This window comes from Homo sapiens, chromosome 7, assembly GCF_000001405.40.
Source record: "Homo sapiens chromosome 7, GRCh38.p14 Primary Assembly".
Lineage (NCBI taxonomy): Eukaryota > Metazoa > Chordata > Mammalia > Primates > Hominidae > Homo > Homo sapiens.
In genome coordinates this window covers 97,016,079-97,028,174 of record NC_000007.14, presented here as the reverse complement: position 1 = coordinate 97,028,174, position 12,096 = coordinate 97,016,079, and the positions used below count along the sequence as shown (strand labels likewise).

The following is a 12,096-nucleotide window of genomic DNA, read 5'->3' as shown; positions in this document are numbered from 1 at the left end:
GGCTAGGAAAGGAGAGTCATCCTTGATGCCTTCCAGTCACCCCAGGTGGGGACACTGAAGGAGCGCCTTACACCTAAGAATTGAGGGATAGGACAGGGGGCACCAAGAAAAAGGTGACCCAGAAAAAGGTGAGCCGGTGGGAGGAGGAAGGAAAAGTATGAATGTACAAGAAGGAAAGGAAAGGGCATGGGAATTGAGAGAAAGATGTATTGGAAGTACAGAGAAAGAAAGCCACCTGGAAGTGAACTCTAACACTAAGGACCAGTTGGTGTCTGGCCAGTGACTGAGCTTGGGGTTTGCCATTTGCGCAATGTTGCTCGAGGACACTGGGTGGCGCTCGTGGTAAAGACTTGCACTTATCTTAGGGCTTCCCTCCCGCTACTTCCCCTTCCCTCCCTTTGCAGATTTCAGCTACTAAAAGATGAAATTACTTACATTCTTCCTACGTGTCTCAGCGGGAAGCGCACTGCTGGAAGAGTTTGATGCCGTGGGGCTGTTTCTCCACGGCTGGATTTGTCGGTGGATTTTGAGAGGCAATAGCGTCCAGCCCGCTGGCCTTAGGACAAAGCTGGAGGCCCTAGTGTGAGAACTCCCTCACAACACCAGCAAAAGTTTGCTGCTCCGAGAGCCGGGATACTGGCCGGTGTATGTCCTGAGCGTGGGTCCGAAGCCGCAGACAGGCCCGCAGAGCAGCCGGCAGTGCACAGAGCTACAATGCCTATATTGTGAAATTAAATAAAACTGTACTGTGAACAGACTCTCCGCTGCTTTTAACTTAGTGCTTCCTCTCCCTCCCGGCTGCCTTTAAGGAAGGGGTGGAGTGGGGAGTGGGGTCAACCTTGAAAAGAGGAACAAAATCAAGAAAGTTGAGGCTCTGGACCTGTAGAGACACATCCAGATTTGGTCTCACCCAGCAGCAGAATGGCTCAAGTCTGCGTGAGGGCCAACGTTCTAACGCTTTAGGAACCGAAACAAAGAAGTTAAATTCTTCCCTCCCGGCCCACTCCTTTTTGTCTTTTATGAAATGTGGGAAAGAATGTCCATTTTGACTGCGGGGTTTTGGGGGGGTGAAATTTAGCAAGGTCTAGAACTAATTTGACATTGTAACATTATTTTCAATCGGATCCCGAACTTCTAAATTTTGCCCCAATTCTGCAGCTTCCAATCCCATCCTGGTTAGAATCTGCCATCTCAGCAAGGTGTAAGGGCATTGCTAGGAACACCCTGTTCAGTATAACCATGTGGTAACTCAAATCTCTATTTAACCAAAAGTGTCGAAGATAGGGGACCAGAGGAAGGGAGGCCTGGCTCCCTGCCCACTTGTCTTTGCCGGGAGGTGCTTTGAACTGTCCTTGGCATTGATCTGAGGAAGCGATTTCTGTAATTAAATGGCAGTGTGTATCAGGTGACTCGATGGGCGCCGATAACTTCTCCAGAGCAGAGCCCAGGACCGCAGACCCATGTTTCCCTCCTGTTCTTTAGCTCCTCACAGCCTACATCTAGACGGTTAACAGCCTGTCGGTAATCGACAGCGTCAAGTCAGGGCTGGCTGGCAGCTGCAGCTCTGTTTACCCCGAAGTCTATCTCAGAGAAGCCCGCGGCAGCCCAGGCCCAAAGCTCGTGACTCGGGCCAGTGGGAGAAGGAGAATGCTGCTGGGCGCCAGTCTCCCGGTGCTGAAGTTTCCCCCGAAAGGAAGTGCGACAATAGCTGTGTTTTTCTGGTGCAGTCCAGACCGCAAAGGCAGGGAGTTGGTGCACGCACGGCAGCTCTGCTTTGGAGTTCCTGAGCGGGGCTGTATCTTGCTCTGAGTTCCAGACACCCTACCTCTACCCGTCGGCCTGTTTTAGGCCGAGTGGCTCCACACTCCAAGTAAGGCTAAACTAATACTAGACACAACTAACACAGACGCTTTCTTCTTCGGTAGGAGGGAAAACGGAGGGGAGGCCAGATAACCCTAGATAGCCTGTGGAACTCCCAGATTGCCGGTCTTGGACCCCGTAAAGGAAGATGTAGGAAGGCCCCAAATCAGGATCTAGTCCGCGGAGTTGCCTATTTGAGGGGAGTAACAATGGGGATTGGGAGAGACTTTTATGCTGAATTTCTAAACTCCCAGCTGAATCACGACTAGAACAAGGATAGCACCTCCTGAAGAGCAAAGTTTAGATCTCGTGTATCAACTGAATGATTCTTGAATCCTTTCTTCCCTTGCATACGAGCTAAGTAGGATGTCTTTGCAGCAGGAAATAAAGGGGAGAGGGTACAGAAACCCGGGTCTGGGAAATGGAGAGACTGGGCCACATTCATGGAGCCAGGAGGGGGAAATCAATGAGCATCATCTGACTTTGCAAAGGCTTTGATCCTTGTCTCCTTCCCCACTTCCGAGACTTTCCCATTCTTTCCTGGAGGTATGGCAGGTTATACATGGATCCATTCACCTTTGCGGGAGTCTTTGGCCACTGAACATAGTTAAAGAGCCTTTATTCCAATGTCTTGAAAATAGATGAAAATATTAAACAGAAGTGGAGCTGTTTGGCTCTTTTTGCAAGCCAGCAACGAGGATTTGGGCTTCCTTAAGTTATATGTGTTTAAGACAGTAATTTTTAAAAGTCATTATAAGGACTTTGGGCTGCAGGAACTCTCCCTGCCATTCACCGGCTTAATGGACATTGTGCCTTCTTGGGCATTCCTGTCCAGCCCGCGTCCGGGAGATACTCATCTCCTGCAAAGGAAGTTGCCTCTTTCCCCAAAGAGCAAATTTTCAAAACATGTAAGTTACAACTTGCTTCCCAACACTCCACTAAAAAAAAAAAAAATGCTGTTTCCCTTCCTTCTTGCCTCCATCCTACATCCCCCCGCTCCCCACTCCCTGCACCTTGACTCCCTATTTCAGTATCAGTGTTTAATTCTACACTCGCCTTTGGTGCAGCCCACGGGGGCGGGGTAGTGGGAAGCAAGGAAAGATGGTCGCCCACCTCATTCCCAAAACATGTGCACTTTTGAGGCTTCTGATTGGAACACATTGTCCCCAGACATCACAGAGCCTTGTGCTGTGGCTTCTGCGATGTCTTTGGAATTTACTAAAAACAGATAGACTAAGACCCCTCCCCACTCCACAACAAGCAAAAACACACACAAGCGCGCGGGCGCGCACACACACAAACACACACACCCCCTCAGTACCCCCCACCCCCTTTTTAAGCAATGCTTTGTTGTGCTAAAACTAGTTGGACGAGTTAGGGTGTTACTGTTGCTCCCGAGGCCCTGGCCAATAGAACCAGATCCACCCCGCTGTGCGTAAGCGCGCAATTAAGGATTTAACCAAGGCTGTGCTGCGCCTCAGCCAGCAGTCAGCCGGCCGGAGACAGAGACTTCACGACTCCCAGTCTCCTCCTCGCCGCGGCCGCCGCCTCCTCCTTCTCTCCTCCTCCTCTTCCTCCTCCTCCCTCGCTCCCACAGCCATGTCTGCTTAGACCAGAGCAGCCCCACAGCCAACTAGGGCAGCTGCCGCCGCCACAACAGCAAGGACAGCCGCTGCCGCCGCCCGTGAGCGATGACAGGAGTGTTTGACAGAAGGGTCCCCAGCATCCGATCCGGCGACTTCCAAGCTCCGTTCCAGACGTCCGCAGCTATGCACCATCCGTCTCAGGAATCGCCAACTTTGCCCGAGTCTTCAGCTACCGATTCTGACTACTACAGCCCTACGGGGGGAGCCCCGCACGGCTACTGCTCTCCTACCTCGGCTTCCTATGGCAAAGCTCTCAACCCCTACCAGTATCAGTATCACGGCGTGAACGGCTCCGCCGGGAGCTACCCAGCCAAAGCTTATGCCGACTATAGCTACGCTAGCTCCTACCACCAGTACGGCGGCGCCTACAACCGCGTCCCAAGCGCCACCAACCAGCCAGGTACATGGACAGGGGGAAGGCTGGGCAGATACAGGGCGACTAGGACGCTGGGGGCGCGAGATGGGGTGGTAGATTGGGGGTCACAGCGGTTCACGGCAGTGGGGGCGCACGCGGCAGAAGGGAGTAGGACTCAGACCCTCCAACAAAGAGAGTTTCTCGGGCCAGCATTTTAGGGATTTTTAGTAGGAGAGCCCTGTGGAGGTTCGAACTAGCGTCTCTCCCCTCCGGCACCTTCCAAGGCCCTTCAGTCGCTGAATTCCCAGCTTGCCCGGCCAGGAAGCCGGCTAGGCTGGAAAGGGGATAGGGGTGGAGAGAAGAAAGAATCAAGCAGCTCCTGGCGTTTGCGTAACAAAGAGAAGGTTACTTGGGAATTTTGGTAAGCGTGCTGGGTTGGTGCGAGTGGGAATAGAAGGCTGCCTCAAAAACTCAGTCAGGATTAGTTTGAGAGCCGCCACAAGCTAGCACGGTGCGGGTGCCCTGAGCACGCTGGGTGGGGGTGGGGGGGTTAAGGAGTTGTAGCCAGCCAGAGAAGAGCGCGCCGAGAGTTTTGCGGTTTATCCAGGCATTTCCAAAAACAAAAAGCCATTTAAAGGTGGAGGAGGGTTGCTGAGGGGTCACGTTGTAGGATAGATTTTTTTTTCTGTCTCCATAGGCGCCCACAATTTGTCTTTCCGTCCTCCTTTTTCGTCCGCTTTGAAACTTACTTAGAGAGTTTAAGAGGGTTAGTGAGCTTGGGCGGTAAGAGAAAGGCATGAGGCTCGGCGGAGAGGTTTTATTGGTAAGGTTTGATCTCTTCCCACCAGCACATTAATAATCCTGCTAATATTAGCATCCCCTACTCTGGCAGAATTGAGACCACAGCCCTCATCCTCCACACTTCTCCCTGGAACTTGACACACACACACACACACACACACACACACACACACACCCTGGAGAGGTTCTCCGTCAGTTCCAGAGGGGTGGTAGTTTTGAGGAAGGGGAGTTGTAGCCCCAGGGCAGGTTTGTACAACACGCGTTTGGCAATCCCTCCCCCTCCCGCCCAAACCCATACTCATGACAGTGAGAATCTCATCCTGACCTGCCGCCCCTTTCCTACGAAAACACCCCACCACCGGTTCCTTCTCAGTGTGTGACTCTTGCTGAACTTTAAAAGAGAGCCCCGGGTTGAGGTGTCTACGTTTCTTTCACTCTCTCTGTATTCCGTGCATAAGTGGAAGATTTCTTTTTTTTTTTTTTTTTTTTGCCAAGAACATATTAAGTCTATTTGTAAAAGAAACCAGACACATCTGTGCCCTCGCAGATCTGCAGCGAGATTATGGGGGTTGCATAATCGACCCTCTGTCTGCGGCGGCCCCGACCGCTTGCTGCTGAAGTGAAGGAGCAGTTTGCTTGTGGGTCTTTGAACTTTGGAGACCTCGGTTAGCGTCTTCCCTGCCCAAGAGTCTGGCTTCTGCGGGCGCCCGAACAGACGCCGACAGAAGTAGGGTCACGGCCCAGGGCCACCTCCTTGAAGCCTGGGGAGGGGCTGGTGTTCTTGAAGCCTGGGGAGGGGCGGAAACGCGGAGGAGCACAGGGTGGGCGTAAAAACAAGTCCGGGAGAAGAAGCAACGACCGCAAGAGCTGAATCCCAGATGCCAAGGAGAAAGCAGTGTTGTAGGAAGCGCTTTGCACAAACTATCTGAATGAACAGAGTAGGAATTAATCAGAGGCTATCCCGCTTTTCCATATTTGGGGTAGGTGCATATTTATCGCGGTCCTGAAAAGCAAAGGTGGTGGTGATATGGGCAAAGAATGAAGACTGAGTGGTAAGAAACTCTAGGACTCTATTTGAGGCCCTTCCGCAAAAGGGGCATTGTCTGGTGACAAGCTTTAACTGAGTCTGTTTTGATTATTTAGAGAAAGAAGTGACCGAGCCCGAGGTGAGAATGGTGAATGGCAAACCAAAGAAAGTTCGTAAACCCAGGACTATTTATTCCAGCTTTCAGCTGGCCGCATTACAGAGAAGGTTTCAGAAGACTCAGTACCTCGCCTTGCCGGAACGCGCCGAGCTGGCCGCCTCGCTGGGATTGACACAAACACAGGTAAATACGGCGCTGCCATGCACTAGACCTGCCTGAGCTGCACGTCTGGTTGGGTCGCGCGGTTCAGTCTCGATGGGACTGGAGCTGTTTTGACAGTACCCGTGAGAAACTAACAGACCCAAAGACATCAGCCCCTATGCTTTAACTCGGTGAGTCAGGCCTTGAGACGGTGGGGATGGTATTCATCAGCGGTCTGGAGATACCTCCCACTAACCGCGCCCCCCGCCCCCACCCCGTAGCGGGCCTCCGGAGCTGTGGGGCCAATTTCGCGGGTTGAAAGCAAGCGGAGGGTTATTTCTAGGGCGGCCTAGGCAGCCCAGAGCAGCTATCTGGTTTTCTTAACAATGTAGAGCCTCCTCGGGGGTGAGCAAGGCCTGGTGTTCTCGCGGTGGTCTCAGGCTAAGAAAAGGCTGAGAACGTCGCCTGGAGCGGAGAAACTGAAGGGTCGTGCCCTGAGCCTACGGGAGCTTCAGGCCACGGCCACCGAAGGGTCGCGAGGTGGGGGGCGCTATTGTACGTGAGAAGTCTTCCTGGATTGTCCCATTCCTTTTACTCCTCCAACCCAGCTGGGGCCTACGGAAGCATAAAGAATGTTCGAGTCGCCGCCAAGAGCTGCAGTCAGATTCTGGCCTCTCTGAGCTGCAGAGGGAGTGAAGGGAGTAGGACGGGAGGTTGGGAGCTCGCTCCTTTTTCTGACCACAGGCGCGCGTAGCCCGCCCCACGCCCCTTCCCCGCCGGGCTCGCGCGATTGTTTTGGAGACCTTCGCCGCGTTCCGCGCGTCCTGCGCAGGCTTACACGAGGCGCGCCGCCGCCGAGGACACTCGGGCGCACACCCGCCGCGCTGGCGTCCCCCACCCCCAGCCCAAACAAAAGACAAGCCTTGGGGTCGTGGCCTCGCTGGGCCGGGGCGCCCCGAGCCGGCCAGGGCGCCCTCTGGGGCCAGAGCTCCATGGTTTGCCTAAGGCATAGCTTCTTGGCGGTAGGCCGCAAGCGGCGGGGAGACGCCAGGCAGGGCTGGGCCGCCCAGAGGTCCGAAGATGCCTCCAGTCGCCGCCCCGGGGAAGGCGCGGGCGACCTCTGAGTGTCCCGGTAACGTGTGCCTTTGTTCCCCAACTCAGGTGAAAATCTGGTTTCAGAACAAAAGATCCAAGATCAAGAAGATCATGAAAAACGGGGAGATGCCCCCGGAGCACAGTCCCAGCTCCAGCGACCCAATGGCGTGTAACTCGCCGCAGTCTCCAGCGGTGTGGGAGCCCCAGGGCTCGTCCCGCTCGCTCAGCCACCACCCTCATGCCCACCCTCCGACCTCCAACCAGTCCCCAGCGTCCAGCTACCTGGAGAACTCTGCATCCTGGTACACAAGTGCAGCCAGCTCAATCAATTCCCACCTGCCGCCGCCGGGCTCCTTACAGCACCCGCTGGCGCTGGCCTCCGGGACACTCTATTAGATGGGCTGCTCTCTCTTACTCTCTTTTTTGGGACTACTGTGTTTTGCTGTTCTAGAAAATCATAAAGAAAGGAATTCATATGGGGAAGTTCGGAAAACTGAAAAAGATTCATGTGTAAAGCTTTTTTTTGCATGTAAGTTATTGCATTTCAAAAGACCCCCCCTTTTTTTACAGAGGACTTTTTTTGCGCAACTGTGGACACTTTCAATGGTGCCTTGAAATCTATGACCTCAACTTTTCAAAAGACTTTTTTCAATGTTATTTTAGCCATGTAAATAAGTGTAGATAGAGGAATTAAACTGTATATTCTGGATAAATAAAATTATTTCGACCATGAAAAGCGGAATGTTTCTGAAAAATACTTCATTCTGCCCCTCTGATAACTGGCTAGTGAAGTTTTATTGAAGGCAACTAAAGAAGGACAAGCTCTGCAGAGATCCAACAAGGCAAAAAAGAAAACAGAAGTCGGGGCTCTATGCATGCAGACTGTATATGTATATATGTTCAATGCTATACTTTGTGTGTGTGTGTGCATATATATATATAATATATATGGCATGTTTATAGTACTGCCATATCTCATAATTGTTTCAGGTAGAAAGTAATGCTGAAATAAAAATACATCCCTCTCACCCTGTATGTGAGTTAGAAGGCAACAGAAATCCCTCAATAACCCCTCTGAATTCTAAGCTCAAAGCAATTATCTTGGAGAAGCGCCCCCACCCATCAGCCTCTGTGTAGTGCCAGAGCAATTAGACAAATTACCCTTCAAAGGGAGTTTCCAGAGATGAGAAAATGAAAAAGAAATCTAGCCTCACACCTATTACATTTTTTAAAAATCTAAAATGTTTGGAGCATGGCAAATGATAGAACCTTGGACTCTTTGGAGTATGATTATAAATGTATCGGCTCTTTTCGAGAGATGAAAACATTGCAGATATTGTGAAGAGGGAACTTCAGGGTTGGGGAAAGGAAGGAATGAAAGCATTGTGGCGCCGTGTTGATTTCATTTTGTGTGAGATAATACTCTTAATATTTCCCTTCCCGCCTTCCTTTTTTCAGGAAGGAGCTTCCTCTGTTTTGCTTTTACATAAAACAGTGGCAAACAGGTTCTAAATGATGCAAAATAGAATCTGTTTACTAGGATTTCTCCTTTGGGAAGCCTTCTTTGGGACAGAGAGGAAGGACTTGCTGCAGCTGTGCCCTGTGTCCCTTCCTTCTTCTTGCACTCCTGCATGTAGATACCAACAGCATGACCAGAGCTATGCACTGCACCTAAAGACCCAGGCCTGAATTGTAGGTGTCTTTCTGTCTGGCCGTCCTTCAGTGGGCCAGACTCTCTTTCCTTAGGATACGAAGGAAAATGTTGGGTTGGAAATTACAAGATGCATGTGAAATATTTTACAGCTAGGAAGTCAGCAGCAATAAATGTGACAAAAGAGCCTTCTTAAAGTGGGGGTAGATTAGAGCATAAAAAATTATATCCTGTCACTGAGGATTTCTCAGAAGGCTCTTCCAGGGTTGGGAGACTAGACCTGAAAAGGCACGCTATGTGCCTTGAGGGGAATTTACCTTACCTACATGTTTCTCTCTCTGTCTCGTCTCTCTCTCCTCTCTCTCTCTCTTTCTCTCTCATTTTCTCTGTCTCTCTGCCTGCCTCCTCCTCCTCTTCTCTCCCTACCTCCCTTCCACCTCCTTTATTTTTTTCGTTCTCTTCTCCTTTACTTTTTTTCTAGAAGAGTTACCAGGCCCGCCAGTGTGGAACAGCTTGCTTCTTGGAGGAATCAGTATTTTGACCGCTCTTTAGACATATCCCGCAGCCTGGCTCCGAGGCAGAACTACGCCCGGCAGCCTGGCCTGTGCACCCCTCCTCCGGCACCCCCAGCGGCCGCGACTCAATATTTCCGTCTCCCCAGTCCGCTCCAGCCGTACTTTCTCGGAAGGAGCACTGGGTGCGGGGAAGAGGGGGCAATAGGAAGGTTTGCGGGGGGCGGGGGGGGGGGCGGGAAGCCAAAGGGTGCCCCATTTTGTTTTCTGCGCTCACAGAGAATAGGGGGATTGGGGAAGAGATGAAGATATCCACTTCCTGCTTTTCTTTCTTTGCTTGTAAGGATTTCGGGAGTTTCCATTACACCGAGAGCTAGCGCTTTATTTCTGGCGACTCCGACTGGGAGAAACCCGCGCCCGCGGTGTGCCAGCGCCTGGCTTTCCCCTGCGCGGACGCCTCTCCCTGCCAAGGGGTGCGTGTTTGGGAAGGTTGGGGGTGAGGGCGCACCCACTGCACACCTCCAATATTTCTCACCTACTGGCTGCCTGTGAGTGGCAAGAATGTGCTTGGAACATACTGTTTTCCTTTGTGCACACAAAGAGGGCAGATATTTTTCCAGCTGTCCCTATCAACTCCCCAGCCCCATTACTGGTGGAAAAGAAGGGGGATCCCTTCCTCATCCCTATTCACCGGGCGCGGCCGAGCTGAGGGAAGGGAGGGTTCGGATTCTTCTAGAGAAAGAGGGAAGCTCTTTCTAAATGACCACTCCTCCACCCTAGCTTTGAGGCTGCTTGTCGTTAAGATCACTAAAGCCTCATTGCGAGGTGGCCCAGACCAACGCCGCGCGGACACAGACTTGGTTTCAGGATTCCTTCCCTTGTGCCAACCTCACTTCTTCCACTCGCAAAGGCCTTTTCTCTCGTGCGGTTTTTATTTTTTAGCTTGGTCTGGGAGCCGTGGACAAAAATATTCTGGTAAACCAGTCTGCAGCGGGCTTTCCCTGGCCCCATGGGGATTCTCTCAGGGGAATTTAACTCCCTGCCGTCCCGAGCCCAAGGATGTAAAAATAACAGATCTTCAGCAAAGTCTAAAAATATCTATGTGATGTTTCTCTCCCTTGCCCTCCCTTCCACCTTCTCTTCCTCTCCATTGTTTTTCCTACGTCGAATATAAACGTGCTCCACTCCCCAGCATATTCCCGGACCAGCCGGCCCCACTCTTGACATCGCACTGGGTGACCCCTCTGCCTGCCCCTTCCGGTTTCCACTTGCCTAGCTCTCAGTATAGTGCTCCCAAGACGAATCAAGTCCTTTCTAAGATTAATGTTCTTTTCAGTGGGCGTCTTCATACTCCCCACCCCTTACTTACAACACCTCACCCCCACCTTCAGAGCTCCTCACAAACCCCAGGAAGGCTGGGGCATGCGGTCAGGGCCAGCGCGATTCTTCGGTGCCCAGACCACCTCCTGGGCCATCCTGTAAGAGATCAGATAAATTGGCCTTTGTTTGAGGCTCGGGTTGAGCTAGGCGGATTTCTGCCCCTTTTCCCCCCTTTTTCCTGGCGGCCACCTCCTTGTGGGACAAGGGGCGGCCTGGGGATCCGAGAGAAGCCGCATTCCTGTGGGTGCCAGGCGGCTCCAGTGCTGAGCCACAGGGCCTGAGACACACACACAGAGGAACCCGCAGACCTCGCTGCCCTTGATCTCGCTCGCTCGCTCTCCCTCCCGTCTGGGCACCCACCCGGGAGCCTGTCCACTCACACTCGGATCCACCCAGGGCACGGCCTCAGGCCCGAGAGCGTTGATCCGCACAAAGACACAAACGCACACAACCCCCTCCGGTGACACAGGCCAGGCCAGGATCTCCCCGCCCATGTCAATCTCCTCTCTCCCGCCCCTTATCCCACAATCCCAGACGCGTCGGCTGGCCTCCTCTGGTTCCTTTGATCCCACCGGACGCCCCACGGCTCGCGGCGTCCTGGCCGCGCCGTCCTGGGAGTCACCCACAGCGCGCCAAAGCCAGGCTGCGCTCACCTCCTCCCAGCGCACCCTATAGCTCACTCCAGCCTTGACACCGCTCAGTCTCCTGAGCTCTCCAGCCGGAAGAGCCTGGGATGCCTGCTGGAACACTGCCCCCACATCCTCCTTCTTAGCGCTTCCTTGTATTCTGGGAGAGGGACCTTTAGGCTACCCAACCGCCCCTCCTCTCCGCCCCATCCCTGCAACCCCTTGGATCGCGCGCCTCCCAATGGTCACTGGGATCTTGCCAACCTAGAGCTCTCTAGCCCTCCCGGAGGCACACCCAGAGGGCAGACGCCCTCGGGCACCTCTGGGAAGCTCGCCACGCCGGCGGATCCGCCTGCGGTCACCCAGCTCCTCCACCCTTAAGCACCCCCTCCCACAGTAGCCGGTGGAGGCTCCCGCCGCTCCAGAGCTTGGGGAGGGGGCGCTGCGGCTTGCTCTCGGCCTCGGCTCGCGCTCCCAGGTTGCCCGCGGTCTTTGCACACAGTGCTTGGTTTTTTTCAACCTCAGCCCAGTCGCAGCGAACTCTGGGCCTTAAAAATAGCCCAAATAGCGGTGGCACATGTGGGATTGGTTAAATATTTTCTACGCAGCCCTGTCTCTTCCCCCCCGCGCCAACCCCCAGCGTTTTCTGTTGCATCTGACAGGCTTTAGATTCCTCAGGGCAGAAAGTATACATTGTATCTATTGCGTGTGTGTGTGTGTGTGTGTGTGTGTGTGTGTTTGGGGTGGGGAGCCTTTCCTTTCAATCATCCAAGGCTGCCGGCTGTAATGTAATAACCTGTTTTATAGGTCGGGCTCTAACCGTGAAGATAGGAACTGAGGGAATTTACATGAACCTCTCTTTAAAGCAGATGAGAGTCCTGCTT

General features: G+C 53.0%; 1 protein-coding gene across 3 annotated transcripts, besides 4 other annotated features; it reads left to right on the top strand.

Moving 5' to 3' along the window:
• Positions 402 to 601: an enhancer, noted in NCBI's record as "active region_26299". NCBI's record gives its function as "activates an Ori minimal core promoter by ATAC-STARR-seq in GM12878 lymphoblastoid cells {active_cell/tissue: GM12878}" and the evidence as "EXISTENCE:reporter gene assay evidence [ECO:0000049][PMID:35858748]".
• Positions 1,680 to 2,195: an enhancer, noted in NCBI's record as "H3K4me1 hESC enhancer chr7:96655292-96655807 (GRCh37/hg19 assembly coordinates)". NCBI's record gives its function as "activates a minimal SCP1, AML or CMV promoter by ChIP-STARR-seq in primed H9 embryonic stem cells {active_cell/tissue: H9 hESC(primed)}" and the evidence as "EXISTENCE:reporter gene assay evidence [ECO:0000049][PMID:30033119]".
• Positions 3,122 to 3,838: an enhancer, noted in NCBI's record as "H3K4me1 hESC enhancer chr7:96653649-96654365 (GRCh37/hg19 assembly coordinates)". NCBI's record gives its function as "activates a minimal SCP1, AML or CMV promoter by ChIP-STARR-seq in naive H9 embryonic stem cells {active_cell/tissue: H9 hESC(naive)}" and the evidence as "EXISTENCE:reporter gene assay evidence [ECO:0000049][PMID:30033119]".
• On the top strand, positions 3,344 to 7,779 carry DLX5 (distal-less homeobox 5). 3 transcript variants are annotated; one of them, NM_005221.6, is made up of 3 exons: positions 3,344 to 3,906; positions 5,806 to 5,990; positions 7,110 to 7,779. In NM_005221.6, exons 1-3 carry the CDS (start codon positions 3,552 to 3,554, stop codon positions 7,437 to 7,439), a joined length of 870 nt encoding a protein of 289 aa, NP_005212.1. In that variant the 5' UTR covers positions 3,344 to 3,551; the 3' UTR covers positions 7,440 to 7,779. The 3 variants fall into 3 exon arrangements, with proteins under 3 accessions (NP_005212.1, XP_005250242.1, XP_016867292.1); XM_005250185.4 differs by lacking the exon at positions 3,344 to 3,906 and adding an exon at positions 5,539 to 5,642; XM_017011803.2 differs by lacking the exon at positions 3,344 to 3,906 and adding an exon at positions 5,539 to 5,714.
• Positions 6,033 to 7,232: an enhancer, noted in NCBI's record as "CDK7 strongly-dependent group 2 enhancer chr7:96650255-96651454 (GRCh37/hg19 assembly coordinates)". NCBI's record gives its function as "activates an origin of replication core promoter dependent on BRD2, BRD4, P300/CBP, MED14 and CDK7 cofactors, with strong dependence on CDK7, by STARR-seq in HCT116 cells {active_cell/tissue: HCT116}" and the evidence as "EXISTENCE:reporter gene assay evidence [ECO:0000049][PMID:35650434]".

Coding starts and splice junctions, on each gene's coding strand:
- DLX5 (NM_005221.6), top strand. CDS start 3,552: ATGACAGGAGTGTTTGACAGAAGGGTCCCCAGCATCCGATCCGGCGAC. Junction 3,907..5,805: donor AAGCGCCACCAACCAGCCAG/GTACATGGACAG, acceptor TTGATTATTTAG/AGAAAGAAGTGACCGAGCCC. Junction 5,991..7,109: donor TGGGATTGACACAAACACAG/GTAAATACGGCG, acceptor TCCCCAACTCAG/GTGAAAATCTGGTTTCAGAA.